Source organism: Homo sapiens, chromosome 5, assembly GCF_000001405.40.
Source record: "Homo sapiens chromosome 5, GRCh38.p14 Primary Assembly".
Lineage (NCBI taxonomy): Eukaryota > Metazoa > Chordata > Mammalia > Primates > Hominidae > Homo > Homo sapiens.
This window is the reverse complement of record NC_000005.10, coordinates 66601331-66628614: the sequence shown is the minus strand read 5'-3', so window position 1 is coordinate 66628614 and position 27284 is coordinate 66601331. Positions and strand designations below refer to the sequence as shown.

At 40.2% G+C, this 27284-nt stretch overlaps 1 protein-coding gene across 8 annotated transcripts in view, besides 3 other annotated features; it reads right to left on the bottom strand.

Moving 5' to 3' along the window:
- The window catches only part of MAST4 (microtubule associated serine/threonine kinase family member 4), a 573201-nt gene that overhangs the window by 540979 nt on the left and 4938 nt on the right, over positions 1–27284 (bottom strand). The window lies entirely within an intron of this gene.
- Positions 4108–4167: an enhancer, noted in NCBI's record as "active region_22621". NCBI's record gives its function as "activates an Ori minimal core promoter by ATAC-STARR-seq in GM12878 lymphoblastoid cells {active_cell/tissue: GM12878}" and the evidence as "EXISTENCE:reporter gene assay evidence [ECO:0000049][PMID:35858748]".
- Positions 4268–4317: an enhancer, noted in NCBI's record as "active region_22620". NCBI's record gives its function as "activates an Ori minimal core promoter by ATAC-STARR-seq in GM12878 lymphoblastoid cells {active_cell/tissue: GM12878}" and the evidence as "EXISTENCE:reporter gene assay evidence [ECO:0000049][PMID:35858748]".
- Positions 10927–11006: a silencer, noted in NCBI's record as "silent region_16067". NCBI's record gives its function as "represses an Ori minimal core promoter by ATAC-STARR-seq in GM12878 lymphoblastoid cells {active_cell/tissue: GM12878}" and the evidence as "EXISTENCE:reporter gene assay evidence [ECO:0000049][PMID:35858748]".

Sequence of the window (27284 nt, the reverse complement as noted above, 5' to 3'; positions counted from 1 at the left end):
CTGGGGCAAGTTGATTGAAGGTAAAAAAAATAATAATAATTTTTCCTTTGCTCCAATTTCCTGATCTATTAATTTTCTCCTCTGAGCACTAGTAGAATTCCCTCTATAATCAATAGGAAGGAATTCAGCCTGAGTGCGTTAGATGAAATCATTGTAAATAATCAACATGTCATTTTAGCTAAATAGATAAGCAGCATTTTCCCCCTACATCTTTGATCTACTCACAATGACCTTATTTTACAGTTCTGGAGCCTACTTAAAAAAAAAAAAAAAAGAAAAAAAGTCAGGCACCGTGGCTCATGCTTGTCACTCCAGCACTTTGGAAGGTCAAGGCGGGAGGAATGCTTGAACCTAGGAGTTTGAGACCAGCCTAGGCAACATACGGAAATCCCACCTCCACAAAAAATAAACAATATTTAGCCAGTGTGGTGGCGTGTGCCTATAGTCCTAGCTGCTCGGGAGGCTAGAGTGGGAGGATCACTTGAGCTCAGGAGATTCAAGGCTGCAGTGAGCTATAATTACACCACTGCACTATAGTCTGGGCGAGAGAGCAAAACTCTGTCTCTAAAACAAGAAACAACAACAACAAACACTTAAAAATCAATTTTAAAAAATTTTAAAAATCAAAGAAACTTTTGTTTTTAGCAACATAAAATAGCAATTGGTAGGGGTGGGGTGGGGGGCAGAACACAGATGGCATTTTGTCCAGAGGAGCTGAAAGGTACTTAATCTGTTCAAACTTCCAGTAACTCTGAAAGGGCATAGTGTGAACCCAATGAAACTGGAGTGACAATATGCAAGATCCCACAGTCACATGACTTAACTGGGAATAAACCAATGAAAATGTTGTAAAAGCAGCTTTACAGCTCCCTATTTCAGCTTTTTTTTTTTAACAGATAAACTCTAGTTTTTGCTAGAAGTTTTTTCTTTAATAATACTAAAATGATAATGACCATGATAAATGGTTAGAAGAAAGATGGCAGTCATTAATGCAGGTCACAGATGCCCAAATTGTATATGCTGAGTTTAATTATTTGCAGCCATTGATCTAAAAATTCTCACACGAACACAATGTTCTAAAGCAAGTCATCTATGACTGCTACCCTGGTGAAGTCTTACTTCTCAGTCTTGCCTTCCTTTCAGTAGCACTGAACATGGTTGATCACATCTTCTTCCTCAAAACACCATTTTATGCTCCTTCCAGGACACCACTGTTTTCCTTTTAAACCTTCATATGGTTTGGCGTGAACCCACCCAAATCTAATCTTTTAGTTCCCATAATCTCCATGTGTCATGGGAAGGACCTGGTGGGAGGTAACTGAAGAATGGGAGTAGTTATCCCCATGCTGCCTTTCTCGTGATAGTGAGTGAGTTCTCACAAGATCTGATGGCTTTATAAGGGTCTTTTCCCCCTTTTGCTTGGCACTTCTCCTTGCTGCTGCATGTGAAGAAGGACATGTTTGCTTCCCCTTCCGCCCAAATTGTAAGTTTCCTAAGGCCTCCCCAGCCCTGCTGAACTGTGAGTCAATTAAGCCGCTTTCCTTTATAAATTACCCAGTCTCACATGTCTTTATTAGCAGCATTAGAACAAACTAATACAAACCTCCTATCTTTGGCCATTTGACTTAGTATCCTTTGCTAGTTGCTTCGTATCTTCCTGACCTGTAAGTCATGAAGTGCCTTGGGCACTGCTAACTATCCCAATGATCCCATTGGTCCCACAGCTTTCCCTACCAGCAGACTCCCCAAACATCCCTCGCTTAGGTGTCCCTTCCTGACTTCCAGGCTTTTATCCAACTTTTTTCCTCACATCTCCACTTAGGTGTTTAACAGAAATCTCAACCCTCACCCCTTGAAAGGATTTTATACCTTTTATACCTTACAGCATGGCATTTTCAGCACTGACATATAACTCTCTAATGAGATAAAGGTAAAACTAAAGCATTTGTCTTATAAGATACAGGAAACACTGCTTACAGTCTTTAAATCATTACTGCACTTTAACTGTCATAAATTTGCAATGCATTTGGGAAACAATTTGCAAATGTTCTAGCTGAGAATTTACAGAACATTTTAAGCAGATATTACTGTCCTAAATTGCTTATTGGTGCTGTATTTTACATGTTACTTAAATGTACTAACAGTGCAGCGGAAGAGTATTGCACCTTCTCCAAGATATACAGTGAGAACCATCAGTAGTGCATGGAACCCATGATTTTTCTTAACAGCTCTATTTAGATATTGTGAACATGAAAACTGTGTATTTAAGGGGTACAACTTGATGCTTTGGAAAACATATACATTGTGAAATGCATCTCTATTACCCCTACAGTTATCATTTGTGCACGTGTGTATATGAGAAGATTTAAGATCTACCCTTTTAGCAAATTCTAAGTATATAATAAAATATTATCTTCGACATGCTGTACATTAGATCTTCAGAACTTCATCTACCGTTAACTGAAACTTTGTACCCTTTGACTAATATCATCCCATAACCACTCTCCTCTCTGCTTCTATACATTTTAGATTTTAGATTATTTATATTTTAGATTCTATGTTAAGTTATATCATGCAATATTTCTTTCTGTGTCTCATTTTGCTTAGCATAATGTCCTCTGGCTCCACCCATGTTGTTGCAAATAGGATTTCCTTCTTTTTAAAGGCAGAATAATATTCCATTGTACACATATATACCACATTTTCTTTACTCATCTGTTGAGTGACATTTAGGTTGTTTCTACATCTTTGTTACTGTGAATAATGCTAAGAACATGAGTGCAAGTATCTCTTTATGATCCTGATTTCAGTTCCTTTGACTATCTAACCAGAAGTAGAATTGCTGGGCCCTATGGTGCTTCCTTTTTTAATCTTCTGAGGAATTTCCATACTGTTTTCCATAATGGCTATACTAATTTACATTCCCAGCTGTGTACTAGGATTCCCATTTCTCCATATCCTCGCCAACATTTATCTGTTCTTTTTATGGTTTTGACTCTTTTTCCTGATGATGAAAGATGTTGAGCACCTTTAAATATACCTGTTAGCCATTTAAATTTTCTCTTTTGACAAGTACCTATTTAGGTACTTTGCCCGTTTAATTGGATTATTTGTATTTTTGGTATTGAGTTGTATTCACTCTTCATATATTTTGGATGTTAATCCCTTATTAGATACACAGTTTGCTAATATTTTTACTCAACAAGGGTTATATCCCTGTCATGGGGGTAACAGGCCAGCATTTACAGTGCTGCCATGAGGAATATTGTATTTATAAATGGTGCTTTTGTTGGAAAACATCCTTCTGCAGGCTTAAAGACCACAGAAGGAAACCGAATGCAACAGAGGTAGGTTTTCTCCCATTCTGTAGGTTGTCTTTTCATTTATCTCAACCTGAATCCCATATGCAATATAATCTTGCTGGAGAAGACACACACACGCACACATGAAGGAAAGGAACAATAAGGCCAAGTGTCACAGTGAGCTGAGGGAGACCACCAGAGTTAGGAGAATATAAATAGTTAATGTTTTTTGTATGCTAGGTCATGCTCTAGAGCTTTGCATGTACAAAAAAATAACACTTCATTTTGATTATTTCCTTTGCTACGACGAAGCTTTTTAGTTTTATGTAATACCATTTTTGCTTTTGTTGCTATATCCAAAAAATTATTGCCAAGACCAAGGTCAAGGTTTTCCCTGTTTTCTTCTAGGAGTTTTACAATTGCAAGTCTTATGTTAAAGTCTTTCATCCATTTTGAGTTGATTTCTGTGACCAGTATGAGACAGGCGTCCAATTTTATTCTTTTGCTGAAAAGTCTATCCTTTCCCCGTTACACACTTGGCACTCTTACAGAAATTGTTGACCATAAATATGTAGGTTTATTTCTGGGCTCTCTATTCTTTTCCACTGGCCAGTATATCTGCTTTTATAGCAGTACCATGCTGTTGTGATTACTATAGCGTTGTAATATAATTTGAAGTCAGGAAGTTGGATGCCTCCAGCTTTGTTCTTCTTGCTCAAGATTGTTTTGGCTATTCAGGGTCTTTTGTGGTCCCATATACATTTTAGGGTTAGTTTTTTTATTTCTGTAAAAGATACCATTGAGAGTTTGATAGGAATTACTTTGAATCTGTTGTTTGGCATAGTATAAACATTTAAACAGGCCGGGCGCTGTGGCTCACACCTATAATCCCAGCACTTTGGGAGGCCGAGGCGGGCAGATCACGAGGTCAGGAGATTGAGACCATCCTGACTAATACGGTGAAACCCCATCTCTACTAAAAATACAAAAAAATTAGCCAGGCGTGGCAGCATGCACCTGTAGTCCCAGCTGCTGGGGAGGCTGAGGCAAGAGAATGGCATGAAACCGGGAGGCAGAGCTTGCAGTGAGCCGAGATCATGCCACTTGCACTCCAGCCTGGGTGACAAAGCAAGACTCCATCTCAAAAAAAAAAAAAAAAAAAAAAACATTTTAACAATATTAATTCTTCCAATCTGTGAACATGAGATCTTTCCATTTGTTTTAAATTTCCTTCATCAATATTTTATAATTAAATGTACAAGTCTCTCACCTCCTTAATTCCTAAGTATTTTATCTTTTCTTGCTAATGTAAATGAGATTCTCTTAATTTTCCTTTTAGAGAGTTTATTGTTGATGTACAGATATGCCACTGTTTTTGTATGTTGATTTTTGTATCTTACTTTACTGAATTCACTGATCAGTTCTAACAGTTTTTGTGAAGTCTTTAGGATTTTCCATGTATATATGATCATGACACCTGCAAACAGATAATTTTGCCTCTTCCCTTCCAATTTGAATGCCTTTTCTTTTTCCTGTCTGTTTTCTCTGCCTAGGACTTCCAGTACAATGTCGAAGAGAAGTGATGACATATGGCATCCTTGCCTTGCTCCAAATCTTAGAGGAAAAACTAAGTTTTAGCCCATTGATTATAGCGTTAGTTGTGGGTCCTTCATATATGGCTTTTACTAAGTTCCTCTTATGCCTATTTGGTTCAGAGTTTTTAATCATAAAATAATGTTAATTTTTGTCAAATATTTTTTCTGCATCTGATGAAATGATGTTTTTATCTTCTATGCTGTGAATGTGGCATATCATATTGTATGTACATTGAACCATCCTTGCATCCCAGGGATAAATCCCACTTGGTCATGATGTATGATCCTTAAAATGTGCTACTGAATGATATTTGCTAGTACTTTATTGAGGATTTTTGCATCTATGTTTATCAGGGATTATAGCCTGTAGTTTTCTTTTCTTGTGGTGTCTTTGTCTGGCTTTGGAATCAGGGTGACACTGGCCTCATAAAATGAGTCTGGGAATGTTTCCTCTTCTACTTTTTGAAAAGCATTTAAGAGGGCTTGGTATTAGTTTTTTGAACCATGGTTCTTATAAGGCCATAATCCTTGTAGCTACAGATGTCAGCCCACACATCTCTCTGTGTTTGAGGGCTTCCCTGGTGACCCACTGGATATCAGGGTTTCTTTTGATAACTTTATGGATCAAAAGGGATTCACCCAAAGGATCTGGGTCATCTTCACCTGTCCCATAGGAATTCAGGACTCTCAGGGACCCATAGTAGCACAAAGTCCATAACTTAGCAACAGACTGAAGGCTATGAGCAAACCCCACCACGGACAGCACAAGCTGCAGCCTTAGGAACAGGGCACCTATGGCCATTAGGGCACACACAAACCCAGAAGATGGCATAACCTTGGTTAGCTTGACATCTCTGTCTGGTGCTTTATTGGGTCTGGGATTCTGTGCCGCAAGGTTGTTATTAGGCTGGTTGTCTGACATCTTCCCCACTCCATAAATGGCACTCTACCCTTTGAGTTCACCTGGCCAAAAACTTGGAAGTCCTCTTTGATTTTTCCAGTTATCATCTTCCATTTTCACTCTGTGAGCAAACCCTGTCAAGTTTATGTTCAATACACATCCTGAGCCTGTTTGCTTCTTACCACCTCTATTGTCAACCTGCTCCAAGCACCATCACCTCTAACCTGATTACTGCAGTAACCCTTAACTGATTCTCTGTTTTCACTCCAAGCCTCTTTAATCTATTATCCATACAGAAGCCAGTGAGCCTGTTAAAAATTAGATCTTGTCACCCTTCTACTTAAAACCTTCCAGTGACTATGCAACTGATTTCCAAGTTAGAAAAAAAAAAAAAAAGCCTTACAAGGACATACAAGGTCACATGACATGGCCTTACACTTCATTCCTAGCCTTTGATCTCATCTCCTACAACTCTCTCCCACACTTGTTCTGCTCCACTCTGGCCTTCTTACCATTCTTCGAATTCTCCAGATATGTTCCATCTCAGGGCCTTTGCACTTGCTGTTTCCCCTTCTCTCCAGATAGACACATGGCCAAACACATCATCTTGTTCAAATCTTTACACAAGTCACTTTCACGGAAACATCTTCCTCGACCATGCTGTCAAAATCTATAAATATCCCTCACCCCACACCCCAGCACTCCATATTCCATTTTTTTTTTCTCCTTAGGGTACACTACCATGTAACACAGAGGTCTGCAAACTAAGGAGGACTGTGGGTCAAATCTGGCCCGCTGCATGATTCTGTAAATAGCAGTGTTGTTGGAACACAGCTATATCCTTTCATGGACGTATTGGCTATGGCTGCTCTCACACTACAGTGGCAGAGTTGAGTAGTTGCGACAAAAACCATCTGGCCCACAAAGCCTGAAGTATTTACTATTTGGCCCTCTATAGAAGACGACTGTCAACTCCTGCTCTAACCCATTGCCTGACATATTATCTGCCTCCCCTCCATGCAATATAAACCCCATGAGACCAGGGACTTTTGCTTGCTTTGTTCATTACTGTATTCCCAGTGCCAGTAACAGTACCCGATGCACAGTAGGTGCTCAATTAGTATTTGTTGGGTAGACGGAGGAATGAATAAATTGGTATGGTTGACTTGAAAGGTCTAGAATACACTAGTGACTTTTTTTAACCATTTTTATTGTGAAATATGCAAAAAATACCTAAAACATAAGAGCAAAGTGTAATAAATAAATATAGAATACTCTTGTAACCACCACTCAAGTAAATAAGAAGATATGGCTAATGCCTTTCAAGTCAAAATAGTGTGCTTCTCTAAAAACCAAATTAACTAAGATGCAAAGTAGAATAAAAGCCCTGTTTTCTCTGCATGCTCTGGTTCTTAGACATGCTATCCAAACATTTTCTCACTGCTACTCATACAATAGCACACTGCGAGACAAAAGAATGAGAAAAATTCCAGAACCTCACTACAAAGCCACCCTGTTAAGGCACATGCCATTTAAGTTGCCTTACAGTAGTGCCTTGGACATTTTGAATATAATCATCTTCTGTTATTTGAGGTCCCCAGAATCAAATTCTACTCTCAAATGAACATGACACTACTGAGGCTCCCACCTATTTATGTAAATCTCCGACTTCATTTTTCTTAAGTATTTCTGATCCCTCAGAACAAAAAATTAACACAGTCATCCTCAACTCCTCTTCATTTATATCTCTCTTCACTTTAACAAGACACTGCTGCTGGTGCTCAGAGAATTCAGGGAAAAAAAAAACAATCTATTTAGAAACAATTCTGACTTAACTGCTGTGTCATTTCCTATACTTGTCTCCCTTTCTCTGAATTAGGGGGGACAGTTGCATTAAAACCGTATCTCTTTTACTTAGAATGCACCTGCTTGGGCTGATTAAGCCACAACTGAAGTCACAATCCTCCACTTTTGAGCTCCCTACCATTCTAACAAAATGAGTTATCACTTCTGGTGAGACATTTAAAAAAAAAAAATCAGGACCTGTAAAAACAGAATTGTCCCCATATGAGGTGGAGAAAAGAGAGATAGACACAGAGGCAGGACGAAAAAAAGATGTAAAAACAAGGACTAGCAAATATTTTCTCATAAAATCTACAAAAATGTTAAGTCTCAACTTACAGATAATTACCATTCCCATAAATGAGACTACTGCTCACAGAGCTAAATTTTTCTCTATTACAGCATTTCTACAGAAATGTCACATATTGTTTTGTTTTACTAAAGGCCATGCTTTGTTGTTTTTTTTAAAGGCTATCAGTTAGGGTTCAATGCCATTATTAACGGCAAGTATTAGAGATAATGTGCCCATACTAATTTCACACAATGATACTTTTTATTATTACAAATAAAGAAGTACTACATAACTTTGTTGAAAAATTTAAAACTGTATTGAGCTTTTACAATATTTTAATTTGTAGGCATAACTTCATATGGTTTTAATGTGGAGGGGAAGTAGTATTGTAGACTTCTATATATTTTCCCCACTCACAAATATTTACATGCAATACAATATAATTGCTTTGTTGTGAAAGTGCTAGAGAAAACACAAGCATCCACCTTCTACTATACCAGGGTTTCATCTTCAGCATCATGGGATATGATGTGTCCTATAGAATATTTTGCTAACAGCGAACTATAATAACCAGGTAACAATTATTTTTAAGTACTATCCCTTTCCTTACTCCATCAAAAAAAAAAAAAAAAAAAGCAACCTAAGTCTTTCATTCCATTTAAGACCTATATTTAAAATACTAAAATTCTGGTATAATATATATCCCATATATTCCACATATCTTGTATAATATATATCCTACTTTCTGATATTTTATATATATTTACAATATATAAAACACTTTTTTCTTTATAGGACTCAAGGACATATACAGTGTTGGTAAGAATTTACAAATCTATTGTTTCAAACAACAAAAAAGGTGACCTTGATATAAATTTTTTTTAAAAATTAAATCTAAATTATTTTATTTCCAGATATATGAGTAAACAAAGCATCACTATGGTAATAAAATAAAGAAGTATGCTGAATAGGAATCTGGCAAAATATGTACAAGGTTAATAAAATTTAAAATATTCCCCAGAATGGAGTCTTCTGAGACTATGCATAGAAATATCTTAGTCATATTGACTCGGTGGAGGGAAAATTAGTTTATTTCATTCCCCTCAACAAACTTACTTTGCCACATACATGAGCTTCCTGTATAGATTCACAAGCACACATCTGTACCCGTGTATATGAGGAGAATGTATCATTCTCTATATCTCTATTAGGAGAAAAGGGTATAAGCAGCTCAACAAAATTCCACAGGATTCTGCAGGCATTGATATTCAACATGAATTTTTATGAGTTTTCAGGGAGAAAAATATTCCTAACGAAGGTTGATAAGACCTGACAGCTCCGAGTGAGTGAAATACATATGCCCTGGGGCTCTCACTCACCAAGTCCCTACTCTGAGGGTGGCACAGCATAATTTGGTACCCAGCAAGCCCCTGATGTGTTTTGAGCTCAAAGATTCAGGAGCAAACATCCCGTCAAGTCCCCAAATGCAAAACCGTCTACTATAGTTACTCCTGGAAAAGTTACTCTCTCACAATGGCCATTCTTCTATTTGAGGAACAAAGCACTAACAAATGACCAAAAAGTATTAGATAGACAAGTGTTATTCTCTTCACCTGCTAATTTCTTCTATTTCACTGTCCCTACTACCCTCCACAAGACTTGGGGTGACAGGCCAGCATTTAGTGCGTTGCCAAGAAAAGAATGCTATATTTATAAAATGGAGCTTTTGTTGGAAAACATTCTTTTCCAGGCTTACAGACCACAGAAAGACACCGATGCCCTGGAAAGGGAGAGAGGCAGGCATCCTTCTCTGTTTCCTCTCTTCACATACTCAAATATCCATCAGTTCAGCAAAATTAAGTCAGAAAAAAAAAATCCTTTTCTTTTTACAAAAAGTGCACTAGCGATTCTCAGACTACTAAAGGAAATGAAAAGCACAATATTCCTAATGGGAGTAACACTTTTAATAGCTGCCTTGCTATTTGAGGATCCACTCAAAAGTGATCAGGGTAAACATCAAAAGTCGCATCTAGTTAATCTGAAGCCTTTTAAACCAGCGTGTCTGTCTCCCTTCAATACAGAGGGAAGTGTTTAGTTCTGTAATGAGACATTAATGTTCATCCAACAGGTTAGGCTGGGGTGGTGACATAAATTTGTATTTAAATTTAAGCAAAAGCATACACACTAAAATCTAGAGTCTTCTACATGTTACAAAAATAGTCACGAACAATGCAAGTAGAACCAAGTGTCCAAAATCCTTTGTTACACTGAGGGAGAAGGTCAGGGAAAATCAGAGAGTAACAAAGTCAGACACTTGAAAGGAAAACAGGTCCAAATCCTAACCCTGTCACTTACTGGAAGACCCAATGACTTGAGTTCTCTGAAACCCCCGTTTTCTCACCTATAAAATGGGGCTACTACCCTGCACCCTCAGACTTGCTGTGAGGATCAAAGGGCTGATGCATGCAAACATCTAGCGTAGTTCCTGCGCAGAAAAGGCCGTGGGCAGGAAAGAGCACTCGGCAGTAAAGATTCTCTTTCTCCACAAGCCAACGGGCGGGAGGCCGGTGCTCCTACAACCCTGGTTACTCACAGAACCACCTGGCAGGCCTTTAACACGCATAGACACAGAATCAGGGCCCCCCCCCCATTCCTCCCAGAATGAGGGTCTCCCAGTGTAGACGATGTCAAAGCTCCACAGGGGATTCAAATGGAGTCAAAGCAGGGACCAAAAATACTGCCCTAGCACCTAGTTCCCTATCCAACCCCAGCTGCCAGGAACACAAGCTAAATATTCTGCTTATTGCATTCCTGGCCTTCCTGAGCATTGTCTTTCTCCCTTTATTAGTACGCGTTGATGTTTTACTTTGTTAATGGTCACTGGCCTTTCCAAATCTGTGCTTCTATGGTAAGCTCCTCAAGTGGGTACCATGCGGAGGGGTGGATTGTGGAGAGAGGGTGAGCATGCATGTGGACAAGAGGAACAGAAAGAACAAAGGGTATGGTTATCTACTGGGTGCTACAGACTGTCCCAAAGTTTAGAGGCTTAAAACCACTACTGTTTCATTTTCACTCACAATTTTGTGAGCCAGGAATTCAGGCACAGCTCAGCAATTACGCTCTACATAATCTTTTACATTTTTAAAAGTAACTGTTAATAAATTGATACGTCCATTCATGAGAAACTTTTAAAAGGAAAAAAAAAAATAACCCTTCTCTGCTTTTACTGACCCAAAGTGTGAAAAAACACTGGTTTTGAAATCATGTGAATCATGAGTAAATTTAACCTCTGTAAGTTTCACTTTCCTTAACCAGGAAATGGTGATATCCCCCACCTTACTGGCAAGATTGAGGATGGAATTAAATGCCATAATGCACATAAAGCAACTGTGCAGTGCTCAGCACTGGCCTTCTTGGAGGCCTACAGCATGCTACGATGCATTAGCCACATTTTCAAAAGCTAAACAGCCACAGAGAATCACTTCTCATTAATGGCATCAGAAAACCCAAACATTTTAATGAGATACTGCTCCTGGTTGTATTTGAAGGTAATTTGAGTGCCTCATACTCCATTTTAATGCTTTCCTTTACCTTTTAGAAAAAAATCCAGTCAATTAAATCATTAATGACAGATTTAATGTTCTCCTTTCAGTCCAGATATGAATGTGCAAGGTGTCTCTTTTCAAGGCTCAACCACTTTAGTTAAAACCATTTTTTCCTGGCTTTCTATGTTTTTATAGTATGTTATTACACAGATAATTGAGCACTGCAATTCAGCAACCAATTGTAGAGAAGAGCTGCCAGCAAGCAGTGCTGTCAGGGAAACTTATCAGTAAAAGGAAAGAAAGGGGCAGTACTTATTATTTACACGAGGAAGTCTTACTCTTCTTGTCCAGAATTTGCTTTTGCAAACATTATGAAATGTGTGCCTATTCAGAAGATAGACTGTGCAGTGTTCCAGGCACTCTCTTAGGCTGTTCCTTCACACAGAGGCCCCGGCCAGCTGCTGTTCAGGAGCTTGAGAAAGCAAAACCCTGGCTGCTTGGGGGTTCTACAGAACTTGTCAGTCCAGAAGAGAAGCCCTTCACCCTCCAGTCCAGTCCAGAAGAGCCCCGCTCTGGGCTTCACCCTCCTAAACCAGCACTCTGAGAAGGCCCTTGGGAAGAGAACCAGGAGCCCTGAGACACCTGCCCCAGATGTCCAGCCAGCCAGAGCTGGTCTTATTTGAGACAGTTCTGCCTAATGGGTGACAACTGGCCAGCTAGAACGCCAGACGTCTAGAAACTAATTCCTATGTATTATTTGAACATCTCATACTTAAAATTTAAGGGAAAAAATTTAAAACATCTCTTCTCTGAATCCAACTCTGAACTGCTCACCTTGGTAGGGGCTGCTTGGGAGGTAGGGGGTGGTCACACGGACTGAATGTGAAAAATGCATGCACCACACCTGCCTGTGATCCACGTAATAAAGTGACGGACCTCTTTCCTAGAGTTCTTCTTCTATCAGTCTCTGAGTGGCTGGCATTTGTTTCAGAGCTTCAACTTCCCTTAAGCTACAAAATAAAGTTTTCCTCTGTGCATTTATTTGTTCAACAAAGATTTATTGCATACTGGGAGGCAACTGCTGTGGCTATGAAGATGAATAAGACAAGCAAGGGCTCTGCTCTCATGTAGCTGGCAGACTGGAAAGGGGAGAAAACATCACAACACGGCAAGGGTAAGTTCATTAACAGTCCTTTGCATAATGCCCAAATGCAAGAAGCAACTACCTTGCTGAGGGCAGGCAAATGGGAGGGATAGAAGGAAAAACATGACCTTTGAGATAAGAGATCCTTTTCAGTCTGTCTGGATCTCAATACTTTTTCTTTCTTTGAGTCAAGGATCTCGCTCTGTTGCCCAGATTGCAGTGCAGTGGTGCTATCACAGCCCACTGCAGCCTCAAATTCCTGGGCTCAATCCTCCGTCTCAACCTTCCAAGTAGCTGGGACTACAGGCATGCACCACCATACTCAGCTAATTTTTTTTTTTTAAGGGAGACTGGGTCTTACTATGTTGCCCAGCTGGTCTTGAACTCCTGGCCTCAAATGATCCTCCCGCTTCAGCCTCCCAAAGTGTTTGGATTACAAGTGTGAGCCACCATGCCTGGCTACTTTTCTCTTGAGATCAAACTCATTCTGATTCCAAGGCCTGTGGTAGAAACTGATCCCTCAGAGCTATTCCTCGGATGTCACAGAAGCAAAGGGCCTCTAGCCTGTTGTGCTTGCTGCCAAAATCCTCATGGTCACCCACAGGCCGGTAAAATCAGCATATCTGTACTTGCATGGCACCTGAACCTCTGCCAGGCAGGAAACCCGGTGTCTAAAGTCCAGCCTCCCCAGACCCACCAAGTAGCCAGTGTCCTCTGTTGCCTCATGCTGCCACCAAAAGGTTTACTGGGCTCCAACCCCTGTAACCCAGGACCCACTAATCTTGACTCCCTTCCTGGCCCAGGGAAATCTACTCACTTTCTCTCTCTTCCCTCAAAACAAACAAACCACCCTCCACACCAGGACACACAGCATTCTCTCTTCTGTAGGTTTAAACTTTTTACAAAGCAACTGAGAGGAGCCTCAACTTCAAACTGCTTCAGTTGCCTGCCAGGCAAATATCCCCAAGGCAAGGCCTTACAAGGGTCCTGGTTCCTGCGTGAAATACCAGAAAAAGACAACACAAAGTGAAAGACCCAGATTTAACAGCCCAAAAAAGATTATTTTGCCACATGTGCCCCACCCCCAAACAAAGCATCAGAAAGGATGCCTTGTCTTTCGCTGCAGAGAAAAACATCTCCAGCAGGAGAACCCCATCACCTCCCAACACGAGGGAACTATAGATCTCTCCCTGCATGTGTCCCGTGAGGTCCCTGCTCTCCCCAAACCTGCATTCTGGCAGCCCCATCACGTTGGGAGGTGTAGGAAGTACCATGTCTTTTTGGCTCTTTTTGGCACAAAAGAAATCTGCCAGTTCAAATGACAAGAGGGAACTTACTCTCCAGGGAAGGAGAAAATTGAAAGTCCCTTAAATGGTCTTCTCTTCTGCAACACAGAAAATCTCCAATAGAATTCTTCTCAAAACTTAATCCAAGATTGGGATCTCATGGCCCTCATCAAGACTCAACGAATTCTAGAGATTCCAAATACCAATTCAATAAGGGCCAATAAACTCCTTGGCTTCACATACCCCAAGACTAAAGTCTTCAGGAATAGCTTCTATTCTATCATTTCATGCATGTACTAGGTTGTCTGTGAGCTCCAGGTAGAGAAGATGAATATTTAGTTTTTAAAATTAAGATTAATAGCATGGTTGTAGCTACAAATTTCAAAAGTCCAGAGTACACACTGTGGTTATAATAAAAATAACTGAGACAGAGAATCTTTGAAGTAGTGGAACTGGCCAGACACCCACGCGGGGCCTCACGGACTGCTTTCATAGTTATTTTTCCTGAGGGAAAGGTGAAGGATAAGATGTTCCGGGCCAGGGAAAAGTAAGTAGGGTGAAAGAGAAGTTCCTTTGGGAGTTTAATGTTCATTATAAAAGCTGAACTGCCCTAATTGTTCCATCCTGGCTTAGACATTTATACCTAGCACCTTCTCCTTTAAGTGTTCCCCATTCATGCTATAAACTAATTTTCACCAGTCCCCTTGGCTGCCTTGCTTTATAAATTTGCATGGCTTTTGGGAGCAGCCACGCTGCCACAGATGGCCCATACCAGTAAACCATGACTGGCATCCACTAACCCTGTGAGGAAGGAATTTTTCCCCTATGCTTATAGAATACTGACAGAGACATATAAAATCCAGAAGTTTTTTTTGGTTTTGTTTATTTTTGTTTAACAGATTAGGTTTTTCCTCAGTAGCTTAACTTCCCTCTCCACCTGCAAACACCAAGAATTAGCCACCCTGACAGGTTTGAGGCCTGGAGAAACCACCTTATAAAATCACAGGCTCTGCTTTATAAGACCAGTTAGTCTGTGGCTGCTGAGAACAGCCAAACAGCAAGTCCACACAGCTCAGAGGTCTCAGAAAGCTCCTGGGGCCTGGGGCAGCCTGGCCACAAGGACATCAAGACCTCACCCATGTAGGGGGCTCTACTGTGATGGGGGCCATGATTCCTGCCAAGAACTCAGGGGCTGAGAGTTTCTCCTTGAAGAAGTTTTTCCAGCTATACGTTAGGGGAGACAGAAGTGGTGTTTGAAATTCTAATTGGGCCAAAATCACCACCACCCTAAATTTGGCAAATTTTGAGTAATGAGTAACCAAAAGACTTCCCAAAGCAGAGGAAGACAATGCTATCCCAAAGAGATATTACAAAAAAAAAAAAAAGGGTTATCTGATAAATTCTTATCAAACATACTTTCTTCCCAAAGTCTGGCCCCACAACAAACAGAAACGAAAAGTTCCTTAGACAATGACTTAGATGGTATTAATTGGGCCGGGCACACTGGCTCACACCTGTAATCCTAGCACTTTGGAAGGCCAAGGCAAGAAGATTGCTTGAGGCCAGGAGTTCAAGAATGCCTGGGCTATACAGCAAGACCCTGTCTCTATTTAAATATAAATATATTAATTGTAAACATTGTTTAATTACCTAGCAAGATACAAATCTTTTTAAAGAAACAGTACTCTTGATAAGATACAAAGCCATAAATAAGCTGGTAATAGAGAAAACATTGTAATCTTCATAGTATGTTGTTTCAGTAATTTTTAATTAGATACAAAATTACCTATAAAATATGTAAGACGCAACATGTCAATTATATTCCTCCTAAATATGACTTTTAAAGAGAAAAGCAGAAGACTTTAAGACTGTAACTATTTATAGCAAAGATATCTGATAGGCCAAATAATTTAAATCTGATACGACCTCCTCTTTTTCTTCTTTCCAATGCTTAAAATCGTCAAGGCACCATGGAAAATCCATCAGGATTTACAGATAAATCCATCAGGTTGGTTCCCTCCCCGTAGGCACTTTCAGCTTAACTCACATTGTTCACTTGATAGTGCACTGTGCACATTCAGGTCGAGTCACTGTGTGTGCTCTGTCTCCAAACCCAACTACAGGCTGCTTTAGGCCCTGACCAGATCTATTATTTCTTTTGCATCTTCCTTCCCTCCCCACCCACCAACTCCTACGCCCTTTGCAAGTAGCAAGGTTCAATACCTGTAGAGTTGACAAAGAAAAAGAACTGGCAGTTTCACACCAGCTCTAGCCCCAGAGCAAGCCGAGTTGGCAGCAGCCAGGGTACTCGGGGGAGTCCCAAACCTCACCACCAATAATGGAGTCTTTACCAGCACTCGTTATGTGAAGCAGTGCAAAGATAATACCCTTGCTCTCCAGGACCCTACATTTCACCCACCTAGTACTCTAACAATATTTCCTCCTTTTCTGCCCTTCAGAAGTTCAAGTGAACAGGCAAGGGAAAGAAAAAGAAACACTGCAAAAAAGAAGCCTAAACCTCAGAAGCTGATTTGGCTCAACCCACTCACCTCCCCAGTACTTTAAACACTGCCAGAGATATAGCTCCAGCCTGTGAATTTGGGTTAAAACAAGCCATACACATAAAACCTTGCTGTAATCAAGCCCTCATTTTCTAGGGCATCCTAAGTGGGAAGCTGTTAAAGCTTCCCCTCAAAATTCAAATTATTCTGACTGCCCAAGATCTAACAGTTTAAGTTATTAATCTGTATTACACATTTAGAAACAAAATTTTGAACATCCATGACACTGATTTAAGAAAACTTATCTTAGTGGCAATTGTTATATAATCCACCACTTTTCATTCAAATGAAAAGAAAGCAGCAGTAGTAATTAAATATACACCTTCAGATGTCCTTAAATGTCAAAATAAATTTCTAAAAACTGCAGGTAACAGTATTTTAACAATTCAAGACAGTGCCCATCTGATTACAGGTTTTTCAGGAGTACAAAGCGAGCACCTTCCGATGTATCCCAGCAATGGCTTACACCTCTCATTATGAAATCAACTGGTAAGACTGTCTTTATCATTTTTTAAAACCCATATTTCACCTTCCTTTTAAACACCACAGAAGATCCCTAAAGAGATATCAAGAGAGGCTCTGAAGGAATCACTGTCATTGCTAGAACTTGACTATAGACTACTTTGATGGGGCCTTTGCCATCTCTTAGAAGAACAAATTGCACTAACTCCACAATGCAGCATTAACCCTCTCATGAGAGGAGGACAGAAAGAGGAAGCAGAGAAGAGGAGAGAAAACCAGCAGCTTGCAGCATAATAAATAAAAACATTGAAATGATGCAGACATCCGTCCACAAACTCTGTGGGTCTGAGTTCCAAAAACAAAGAGGCCCCTAAAAACACACACTTGAGTGTAAGGTCGCCGCTGGAACAAGGACATGTGGCAATTATTTAAAGCCTCATCTACAGGAGCTATCCCACTATCTGAGTTTAAACTCAAAGAAAAACCATGAGAGAATTTAAAGTCTTAAAGTCTGCTGGTAAGCAGGAGACAGAACATGCAAATGAGAACATGTTGCAGAAAGAAATTCTGTTACACAAAGAAAAAAAATGTTATGGACAAAGGGCCCTTGGCTGTAACTATTTCTAGTAATAGCACTTGGTTTATTTTTAAAGGCATTCTGATGGATTTTCTGAAGTGACCACTTTGTCTCTTAAATTCTGAGCCTTCACTGGCATCTCCTGTTAGAAATGAGCTGAAAAGCAGTAGGAGACATTTAGCTTTGTGTTAAAATTATTTGCCCCCATTTGTGAAGGAGTCTTGGGCATCCAATGAAGATGTCCTAAAGACAAAGAAAGGTCATGGCCATGTCTTCAAGAGGCTCCCCAGAGCCACAACGTGGCTGGGAGTGAAGGCTGAATGTGTGGGTTCCTTCTTCCAGCTTACCTGTTCCCTCACTCAGAACACCTAGGAGGGTAGGGCCCTGCTCTTCCAGGTGTGCAGATGCTGAGAATTACCTGTGCATAGTCATCCACCTCAGAAGCTGCTATATTGCCCAACACTATAGCGAAGACAGACCTGCCTTCAGCACCCCCAGTGGAACTCGTGTTCTAACAAAAAGCTAGAGGCCGCACTGCACCCCAAGGGGCAGGAGCGGCTCAAAGAGGCAGAGGGCCCTGGTGATGCTCGGGGCCAGGTATCACTCAACCTCTCGGGTGTAAAACAGCCTTTGGCTTTTCAGGTTCAAAATTCACCTTTTCTTCTTCACCATTTCTAGCACTATTACCCCATTCCTAGGAATTTATCATCCTGGGAACTAATTAGGCTGTTGTAGGCTGATCTAGAAACTGAATCACCATTTAAAACTATGTGGAGGTAGACAAGGATTACAGAGGTAATCAAGCTGGGTCTCTAGGGTAAGCCCTAATCCAAAATGACTGGTATCCTTATAAAAAGGGGAAATGTGGACAGAGACAGACATGCACAGAGAGAAAATGTGAGAACACTGGAAGAAGGTGGCCATCTGCAAACCAAGGAGCACCTGAGGCTACCAGAAGCTGACAAAGAGGCATGGAACAGATCGTTCCTTTAAATGGTGATTTAAAACCAATCACCATTAGGGTGGTGCAAAAGTAATTGCAGTTTTTGCCCTTTGGCAAAAACTGCAAATAATTTTGCACCAACCTAATCCCTGCCAACACCCTGATTTTGGACTTCTAACCACCAGAACTGTGAGACAATAAATTTATGTTGCTTAGGTCACCTAATGTGTGGTACTTTGTAGTGGCACTAAAGGAAACTAAAGCACAGATATATGCCAAGATGGTGGTTTCTTTTGGTTGGCTTCACACCCATTAGTTTTGGGTGTGAAGTGTATGGTACTATACACTCCAAGTTCCAAACTGACTTTCAAACAAACTTATGAAATGACTCACCAATAGCTTAGTCCAGAACTGAGAACTGTCTGCCTTTGTTTTAAAAACAAAACAAAAAAAAAAAAACAAAAAAAAAAAAACACCAGGCTGGGCATGGTGGCTTACTCCTGTAATCCCTGCACTTTGGGAGGCTAGGGTGGGTGGATCACTTGAGCCCAGGACTTCAAGACCAGCCTGGGCAGCATGGCAAAACCCAGTATTTAAAAAAAAAAAAATTAGCTGGCCGTGGTAGTATGCGCCTGTAGCCCCAGGTACTTGTGAGGCTAAGGTGGGAGGATGGCTTGATCCTGGGAGGCAGAGGCTGCAGTGAGCTGAGATGGTCCCACTGCACTTCAGTCTGGGAAACAGAGCCAGGCTGTCTCAAAAAAAAAAAAAAAAAGTAGTGCATTGGTACAAAACAAGTTTTGATAGATTTCAATTTAACTATGCAAATAGACTTTCAGTCCACTTTAAGGGCTGGGCAGCTATGTCCAGAACATACAGGAAAGCCCTGGCTGCCCAGGGAAACGGAGATCCTACAAACCTTTTTAAATAAAAGACTAACTTTTTAAAATCAGAAGTAGTTGGTCTAGGACACAGGAGTGATAGACTTGTGACACGTGGCCAAAGGAAAATCATCCCAGGCAGCAGGAAAAATCCAAACCCAAGTCTTTCTGTTTGGAGCCTGCAGACTCTGCCACTGATCCAAGGATTTACAGGGAAAAAAAAAAAAAAAAAAATCTAAGGGAGAAAGATCCAATTCCACACTCAGTCTCCAAGGGTTGGCACCAAAAACCATCCTTTGTGATTCCATCTAGAACAATATCTTCTAGTGTTAAGATTACTTCAAAAACAACTCAACAGATAGCCACACCACAGCATTTTCTAAAGGACAGTCCTAGGTCAGACAGTTAAGATCCTAATTCACAGGTTCTAAAGTTACCCTGTACTGAGAAGAAGACTCGCGTTCTCCCCCCCGCCCCCCGCTTTCCCCTGCTGCTTCTACCAGCCATCTATTACAAGACTTATTCTAAAACTGACGTGCCATGCTCAGAATGACTATTCAAAGAATGTAAGTATTTCAAAAGCCACACAGAAGCCTGAGCATTTGAATGGGTGAGATGACACAACAGAGTGCTCCAGCATCAAGACAAACACAGAACTGACCATGTCCTCTGGAGTCAAACTCCTCCGCAGGGATTGGGAGGTGAGAGACAGTACCCTCAACACTTGCTAGGGATACTGACAGAGACATACCAAATAAGTGTAAAAGAATTAAAGCAGAACATATAAGTCGTCCATATTTTCCTATGTAAGCATTATCTGAAAGGTAGAATTCATGAGTAAGGATCCTTTTGAGAATTCCCGTCAAGAATGTATATATAGACCTTAATGTTCTCGCCATCAAAAAAAAAAAAAAAAAAAAAAAAAAAAAAAGGCCAGGCACAGTGGTTCATGTCTGTAATCCCAGCATTTTGGGAGACCAAGGCAGGTGGATCACCTGAGGTCAGGAGCTTGAGACCAGCCTGGCCAACATGGTGAAATCCTGTCTCTACTAAAAATACAAAAATTAGCCAGGCATGGTGGCACGCCTGTAATCCCAGCTACTCGGGAGGCTGAGGCATGAGAATCACTTGAACCAGGGAGGCAGAGGTTGCAGTGAGCCAAGACAGTGCCACTGCACTCCAGCGTGGGCAACAGAGACTCTGTCTCAAAAAAAAAAAACAAAAAAAAAAAGTAAGCATGTGAGGTGATGGATATAATTTGCTTGATTTAATCATTTCATTTCAAAATATATACATATCAGAACATCGTGTTGTACACCATAAATATATACATTTTTGTCAATTATACTTTAATAAAGCTAGGTGGGACAGGAAGAATAGGTGCCTATTGACAAATCAGAAAACACCAATTATCAAGTCCGTCAAAAAGAAAATGTCAATCAACAGTTCCTAAAAAAGTATAGAGTGATGAAAACTAAGTTTTAAAGGTAATATTTTGTAATAAGAGGCAAATAAAAAAACTGTAGCTAAGAAGGACCTCTTATTTCATCACAGATGAGGATCAGAGATGCTAATAACTTGCCTAGCAAGAAGCCAAGGCAGGAGTTCAGATTCCCCAATTTCCAGGCCAATACTTTCACTACTGACCAAATTCCTGCAATCCATTTCCACTCACAGCAGCATTACCCTGAGAACTGAGTACAGCCCAATATTACTGTTAACATGTTAAAGCTAGCTGTCAATACTTCATCAGAAACCAAAATAATTCCTTTTAACATGTGGCCAAAAATGCCTTAACTGCTACAAGTATAATTTTAATGAATAACCAAGAATTATCCTGGCAGAATACAACTCCCCAAAGCCAACAGGAAAATAAGAATTGGGTTACAGGCAAACTCTTTCATTTGTAGAAACTCACTTATCCCATTAACTGGTGTCCTAAAACCCAGGATTATAGCAGCTTTATGTCTTAGCACTAACCTTAACAAAAGTTCTACAGACGCTTAATCTAAACTTTTATGCTAAGTGCAGAGCAACCTATCCCCTAAATGGCATTCTCATTTATTCAGCAATTGATCATTGTGTGCCACATCATGCAAGGTTCTGTGCCAGGCTCTGGGATGCAGAGATGACCAAGAGGCTTGATGATCTCCTCAAACCTGCCCTTGTCCCAGTATCTCCCTACTATTCTCCTCCTCACTTGTATGAGGTTGAATGGGTCACTTAGCTGTAACATGGTAGTGTAGACCAATTTAATGATCAATTGAATTTCAAAAAGGCTTGTGTGAAAATGAGTAAATTCATACACTCATTTAATATTTAATTTAAATGAGTATATTCATATACTCATTTAATATTTAAATGAGTAAATTCATATACTCATTTAATATTTAAATGAGTAAATTCATATACTCATTTAATATTTAATTTAAATGAGCAAATTCACTTTCAGAATGTTGCTTCGCCACACATTATGTCTCAAGTGCGATTTTGTGTAATGTATTATTTTTACCCACTATATGCCATGCACCCTCCCTGTTGCAAGATTTGAGTTGATATGACATGGTTTCCACCTGAGGGGTTCACAAACCAGTGGGAGAGATTCACGAAGAGAAATTTATAGAAAATAGGCAATATGAGAAAAGGCTGTGCAAACTGTAAGTACTACAAATATTAACAACATATATGCAAAACCTGGCACAATGCAGGAACAAAGATAATGCAGCACAAACCTCCAAAAACAGAACTTATTTTGCTAACTTCAGCTTTTAAAGTGAGAAAAGAGAAATCAAGATAACTACTTTTGTTAACAGCACAATTTTATACTCACTTTCTACCTTCACATCTTCAATAGTTTTCAAAGATGACTGATGGCCAGAGAGCCCTAAAGCATTACAAGATGTCCAATTATTTAAAAAAAAATAGCTTGTTCAGCACAGAATAAGGCAAGAAAACATACCATGACATTCTAGAAAAAGAAGCAAGCAACAAGGTGAGAACAAGAAGAACTTTCAAATTAATCTTTTATGAATCATAAAATTCAGTAACCAAAAAAGGCTTTGCCCCCAAACATTCTGTTTAACAAGAGGCTTTTCTGCCATCTTCTAGCTAAAGCATTTGTTGTGTTCTTTTTAAAGGTCTGATGATAAAACTATAGATAGAGAAGAAGAAAAAAAGAAGCAAGAATAAGAACAAGGAATGACAGGTAACCTGATACACAGAAACTGGTGATTCAGAAATAACTTTAAAAGAATATAAAATGATATGATTTTAGCAGGTTACAAAATTGTCATTGTTGTTACTCTACTAGCATAACTGTTCCCAACCAGTCTTACCTGATAATTCTAAAACGGTTGCCCTCAGGCTGCTGCTCACACACTTAGGCTAAGCTTTCTCTGGGTAGAAATGTTTTAATGTCAAAAGTGGAAATCTTGAAAACAAAAACGATATTGAGGTTTCTAAGGAGAAAAATCAAGAGTTCCAAGTTGTAATTTCCCTTTAATCCCTTGTCCTCTGAAAAGGGAATCTGCATGCATCGTGGCGAGAACCCAACAATCACCGTGGATTAAAGCTGACCCTCAGGGGTCTTACAGGCTCTTTGGGGACTGTCCCACTCCCCAAGCAACAATAAACCAGGGTAGCCAATTAGGGAGACTTGGTCACTGACTGTAGAACAAATAACCAAGTAATTCCAAGGAAAGAAAAAAGTATGTGAATTAAAATTTACCAATGTAGTATTTTGAACAGTAAAGTACCAAAATATAAGGCAAAGGGACAGTCTTACTTGACAAGTAATTTTCCTCTCATTCGCTCTCCTGCTCAGGCACCCTCAATTTTCAAACTCAGGTTGCATAGACTTAACAGGGCGCTTCTACTTACCAGTCTGCTAAGAGCCATGAGGACGGGAAAGTCAACATTTTCTTGGGTTTTGCAGGTATATATTCTGCTCATTTAGGATGTCTGAAACTCTCCTCTTGAAGTAAAACCTTTCTGTATTTCTTTCTCTGGGCCTGAGTTTTCCTCCAGAGCAATCCTCCCCTCCTCTTCTTGGCTGCATCTAAGTATCCTCAGAGCCACTCTTCAAATGAAGCCTAGGTGAGGGCTCAGGTTATTTCAATCAAGCCACTCCAGCTAAAAGTATGTGAGTAAAAAGCAAATTTTGTGAGTTTGTCTTATGTAGGAGGTAGATATGCTTATAGGGAACTAATTTATTTCATAAACTAATTTGTGAAATTAGTTGTTGAACTTTTATACACAAAATAGATTTCATCACAACTTCATTCCATTTCAATACCATAATGCAATTTCGCTGGCTATGACTGCCCTAAGAAGTAATTTCAAATGTGAGGATTTTGTGAATGTCAGTCTCAGTGACTGTGTACACCGACCTAATAGTTTAACCTCCAATTTTAACCCAATTTGACTTAGTTTCCCTACCACTGATGAGGCCCTGAGGCCCTTCCTGCATTGCAGCAAGTACATCTATCTCTGTATGGAGAAATGCCTGAAAAGAAAAATGTTAAGAAGGAAGTCTGAGATTATTTTTGTTAGACAAACACAAAGAGGCACAAAATCACCAGCCAGAAAGGAACACACCTAAATTCTCAGCTTATCAAAAAAAGGAGCTAGCCAAGTTCTAAGGCAGAGGCCAAAAGACCCACATCTGATGTGAGTTTAACAGACAGTCATCTACCCACACTAAATTGGGTGCACCTGTGATCCTGCTGCCCACTGAAAACACCGCAAAAGCACAAACCAAGAACATTAAAATTAAATTTTCATTTTCCACATGATAGCCTATAAAATTAGTTAAGAAGTTCAATTTATCAGTATTCCATCTTCCCTCCCACCTACCATCATTCCCCCTTCCCCAGTATCATTACAAAGCATTTGGACTGAAAGGTTCAGTGGAGGTAAGTATCATAATCAAAATTATATCGACTGTGTCTGAGAGGGGAATTGATGGGCTGGCAAGAGTACAGGCCTAGGATACAAATTTATAAGCTGTCTCACAGACATGTGTCTAGTTATGAATTCAAATCATTAAATAAGCAGTGACTGCTTTTCATTAAGGGAGGCTGGAATCGCCACCAGGAATTTCACACAAGTTCCATAAACTTAAATGTGACTTCAGAGTATGTGTCTGTACCAAGGACCACAGTCCTGAACCAGCATTTCACATTTAGGGCATGGCTTTCTCTCCTAACCCTGGAAGCACAGATGACTATTATCCAATCCCTCCTAGGAATTCTGAACCAGGTGAAAGGGCGATGAGAGAAGGGTGAAGAAAGGGAAAAACACAAATGCGCAGCAGCTGTTGGCGAAACCAACTTCTGCTTAATTTTGTATTTTGGTATGCTTTAACCTAAAATAACATCATCAAATAAGAAGCCAGACAAAATACTGGACACATAAAAGAGAACAAGATGCTCTGAACTAAATGATGCAAAGTTGTGTAAATGTTAGCCTGAACAAGTGCACAGAGCAGAACACCAGTTGTTTGGAAGAGAAGTGAACTGCAATCACTGCACCAGCTTGAGTTATATCAAAAGGGCTACTAGGTTATTTGCATTTTTGTCTTAAAAACCAAAATGTTTATACTGTTCCAAGGAGACAAAACAGAATTTGTGTTAGGTAATCTGCATACAGGAGTTCTTGTATTTTTGAAAGTTCTATTGCATTCCTAACAGATTTCCCCTCTGAGAAGTTGGGATGGCTGCATACCATCTGCCTTGCACCATCTTTCATGCTTATATGAACCAAGGTTGACTTCCAGATAATCACCTGATTTCCTTCCTACTCCTTTCTCATCCCCCAAATCATTATTCTAGGAAGCTGAAATGAAGTACATGGTCATGTCACTAGCCCCAGGACATGGCTGACACACTGCCTTCTGACTAAATCTCTGGGTGCAGCTAGTAATTTACATGTTCATAAAATCTTGCAGGATATTATTTAATAACTGATCACTAAGAACAGGTTCCATGAGCAAAAGAGAAACGGTGTCTTAACAGAAGGGTTAATGAATCATATACAATAAAGCTTTGCTGTTAGTACCTCATAATGAATGCTCTGCCCATGAAATTAAAAGGGATAACTGTTACATATCTACCTACTCATGAATGAAAGCCTGCCAGGACTACCAACAAAATATGCTAGAAGCATAATCCATCAGGCAAGGGACTTGTAGGTTTCTTGCTTATTATGTACCTGCCTATGGTGCTGATGGTACCAATACCCTGCATAAACCAGCTTTTCCACACTCGGTAATAGTAGCAAATACCATTATGGAGTGCTTACTAAGCACCACACACCATGCTGGGTACTCTCCATAAAACATCTCATTAATCCTTATAATGACCCTCAGGAATAAAAACTACAGGCCCATTTTACAGATGAGGAAACAGCCTCAGCAATAAGAACCTAGCCAAAGTCTGTCCCCTTAGTCACTACAGACTCTGACCTCAAAGCAGGGAAACACTGGCTGCTAGCTCTAAAGGAATGAAGGAGAAGAATGCAAGCCCTTTCTGGCAACACTATAGAATGTAAGAACATAACCAGAAAACACGCAGGGTGGTTTTCATCTAAAACACACAATCATCTCTTCTAAGATGCACACCCCCTAGCCCCCACTCAGCTTTTTCTAAGGCCAAGCCACCAGGTCATGGACCCTTCTCACTGTGGGACACGTCCTATGAGGATTCTTTTTCCAGTTTATCATCTTTATACCCCACTTCCATGACCTTCCTTACAAAGCCAAACTAGAAAAAAAAAAAAATCCGCCTGGACTCCTGCACTGTATCCACTAGGTCTGAGTGGATAGCCTTTGTCACAGGCTCTAAAACACTGGCAAAATGTTAAGTATTTGACATTCCCTGGAGTACTTCAGACCAGAGTGGAAAGGGTAAAAGCCTTCGTTCTTTGGTAGTGACCCTTTCCTCTTTAGGAAAATCCAAGAAAGACTGGTAATGCGTGTTAGTACCCAAACACCACACTTCCTGTCAACAGAGAGGCACAACCTCAGACCATCTCCCTTCATGCTCACCCCAGGTAAATCTGTCCCTGAAATTTACTCTGGAAATGGGCATTCACAAGACCCTCTCCTCACTCTCCCGTCATGGTAATAAAGTTTTTCCTTCAATACTAGAGTTACAATGGTATGGCAGTGAAAAGTAGCATTAACACTAAGATGTTCTCTTCAACAGATCAAAAGTATTTCATATGTATGTATTTTCATATTGTATTTCACACGTATTTCATATGTATTCATATGTATGTATTTCATAGGTATATGCATATACCTGGAGTACCTAAGCTACTAGGGACAATCGCATCTCACCCCCACACAATTTGCTAAAGGGACATCTTCTCAGGTTATCAATTCCAACTCTGGAACGATTAGGCTATATCAACAGTTCCCAGCAGGTGGGCTTCATACTTCCTGACCCTCCCAAAATACAAATCTGATCATGTCACTTCTTTGCTTCAAATCCTTCAATGGCTCCCATTGCCTCTAGAATAAAGTCCAGACAGCTCTGTATGACCCGGCTGCTGCTTCTCTATCAAATGTCATGAGATGTCATGCTCTTCTCTCCTCCACACCTAACAACTCAGAATCCTCTCAGAGCCATGGACCCATGCTCTCTCCTGCTTCAAGGCCTCCTGCTACCTGGATCACACCTGTCCTTCCCTTGCCCTCCCCCACCTAACTCCTGCTCATCCTGGGGGTCTCAGCTCACAGATCACTTCCTCAGTGACTCAGTCCTTAACACCAGACTCAGTGACTTACAAGTGCAGCCACATGCTACCTCACAGCCTGTTCCCCATTTGCCACTTTTTGAAACCAATTAATTCATAATCACATATTTAGTGACTATCTCCCCAACTAGAGTTGAAGCTCCCTGGGGTCAAAACCATCTCTGTGCCCAGGACGATGTCTCAGAGTCAGACTCAATA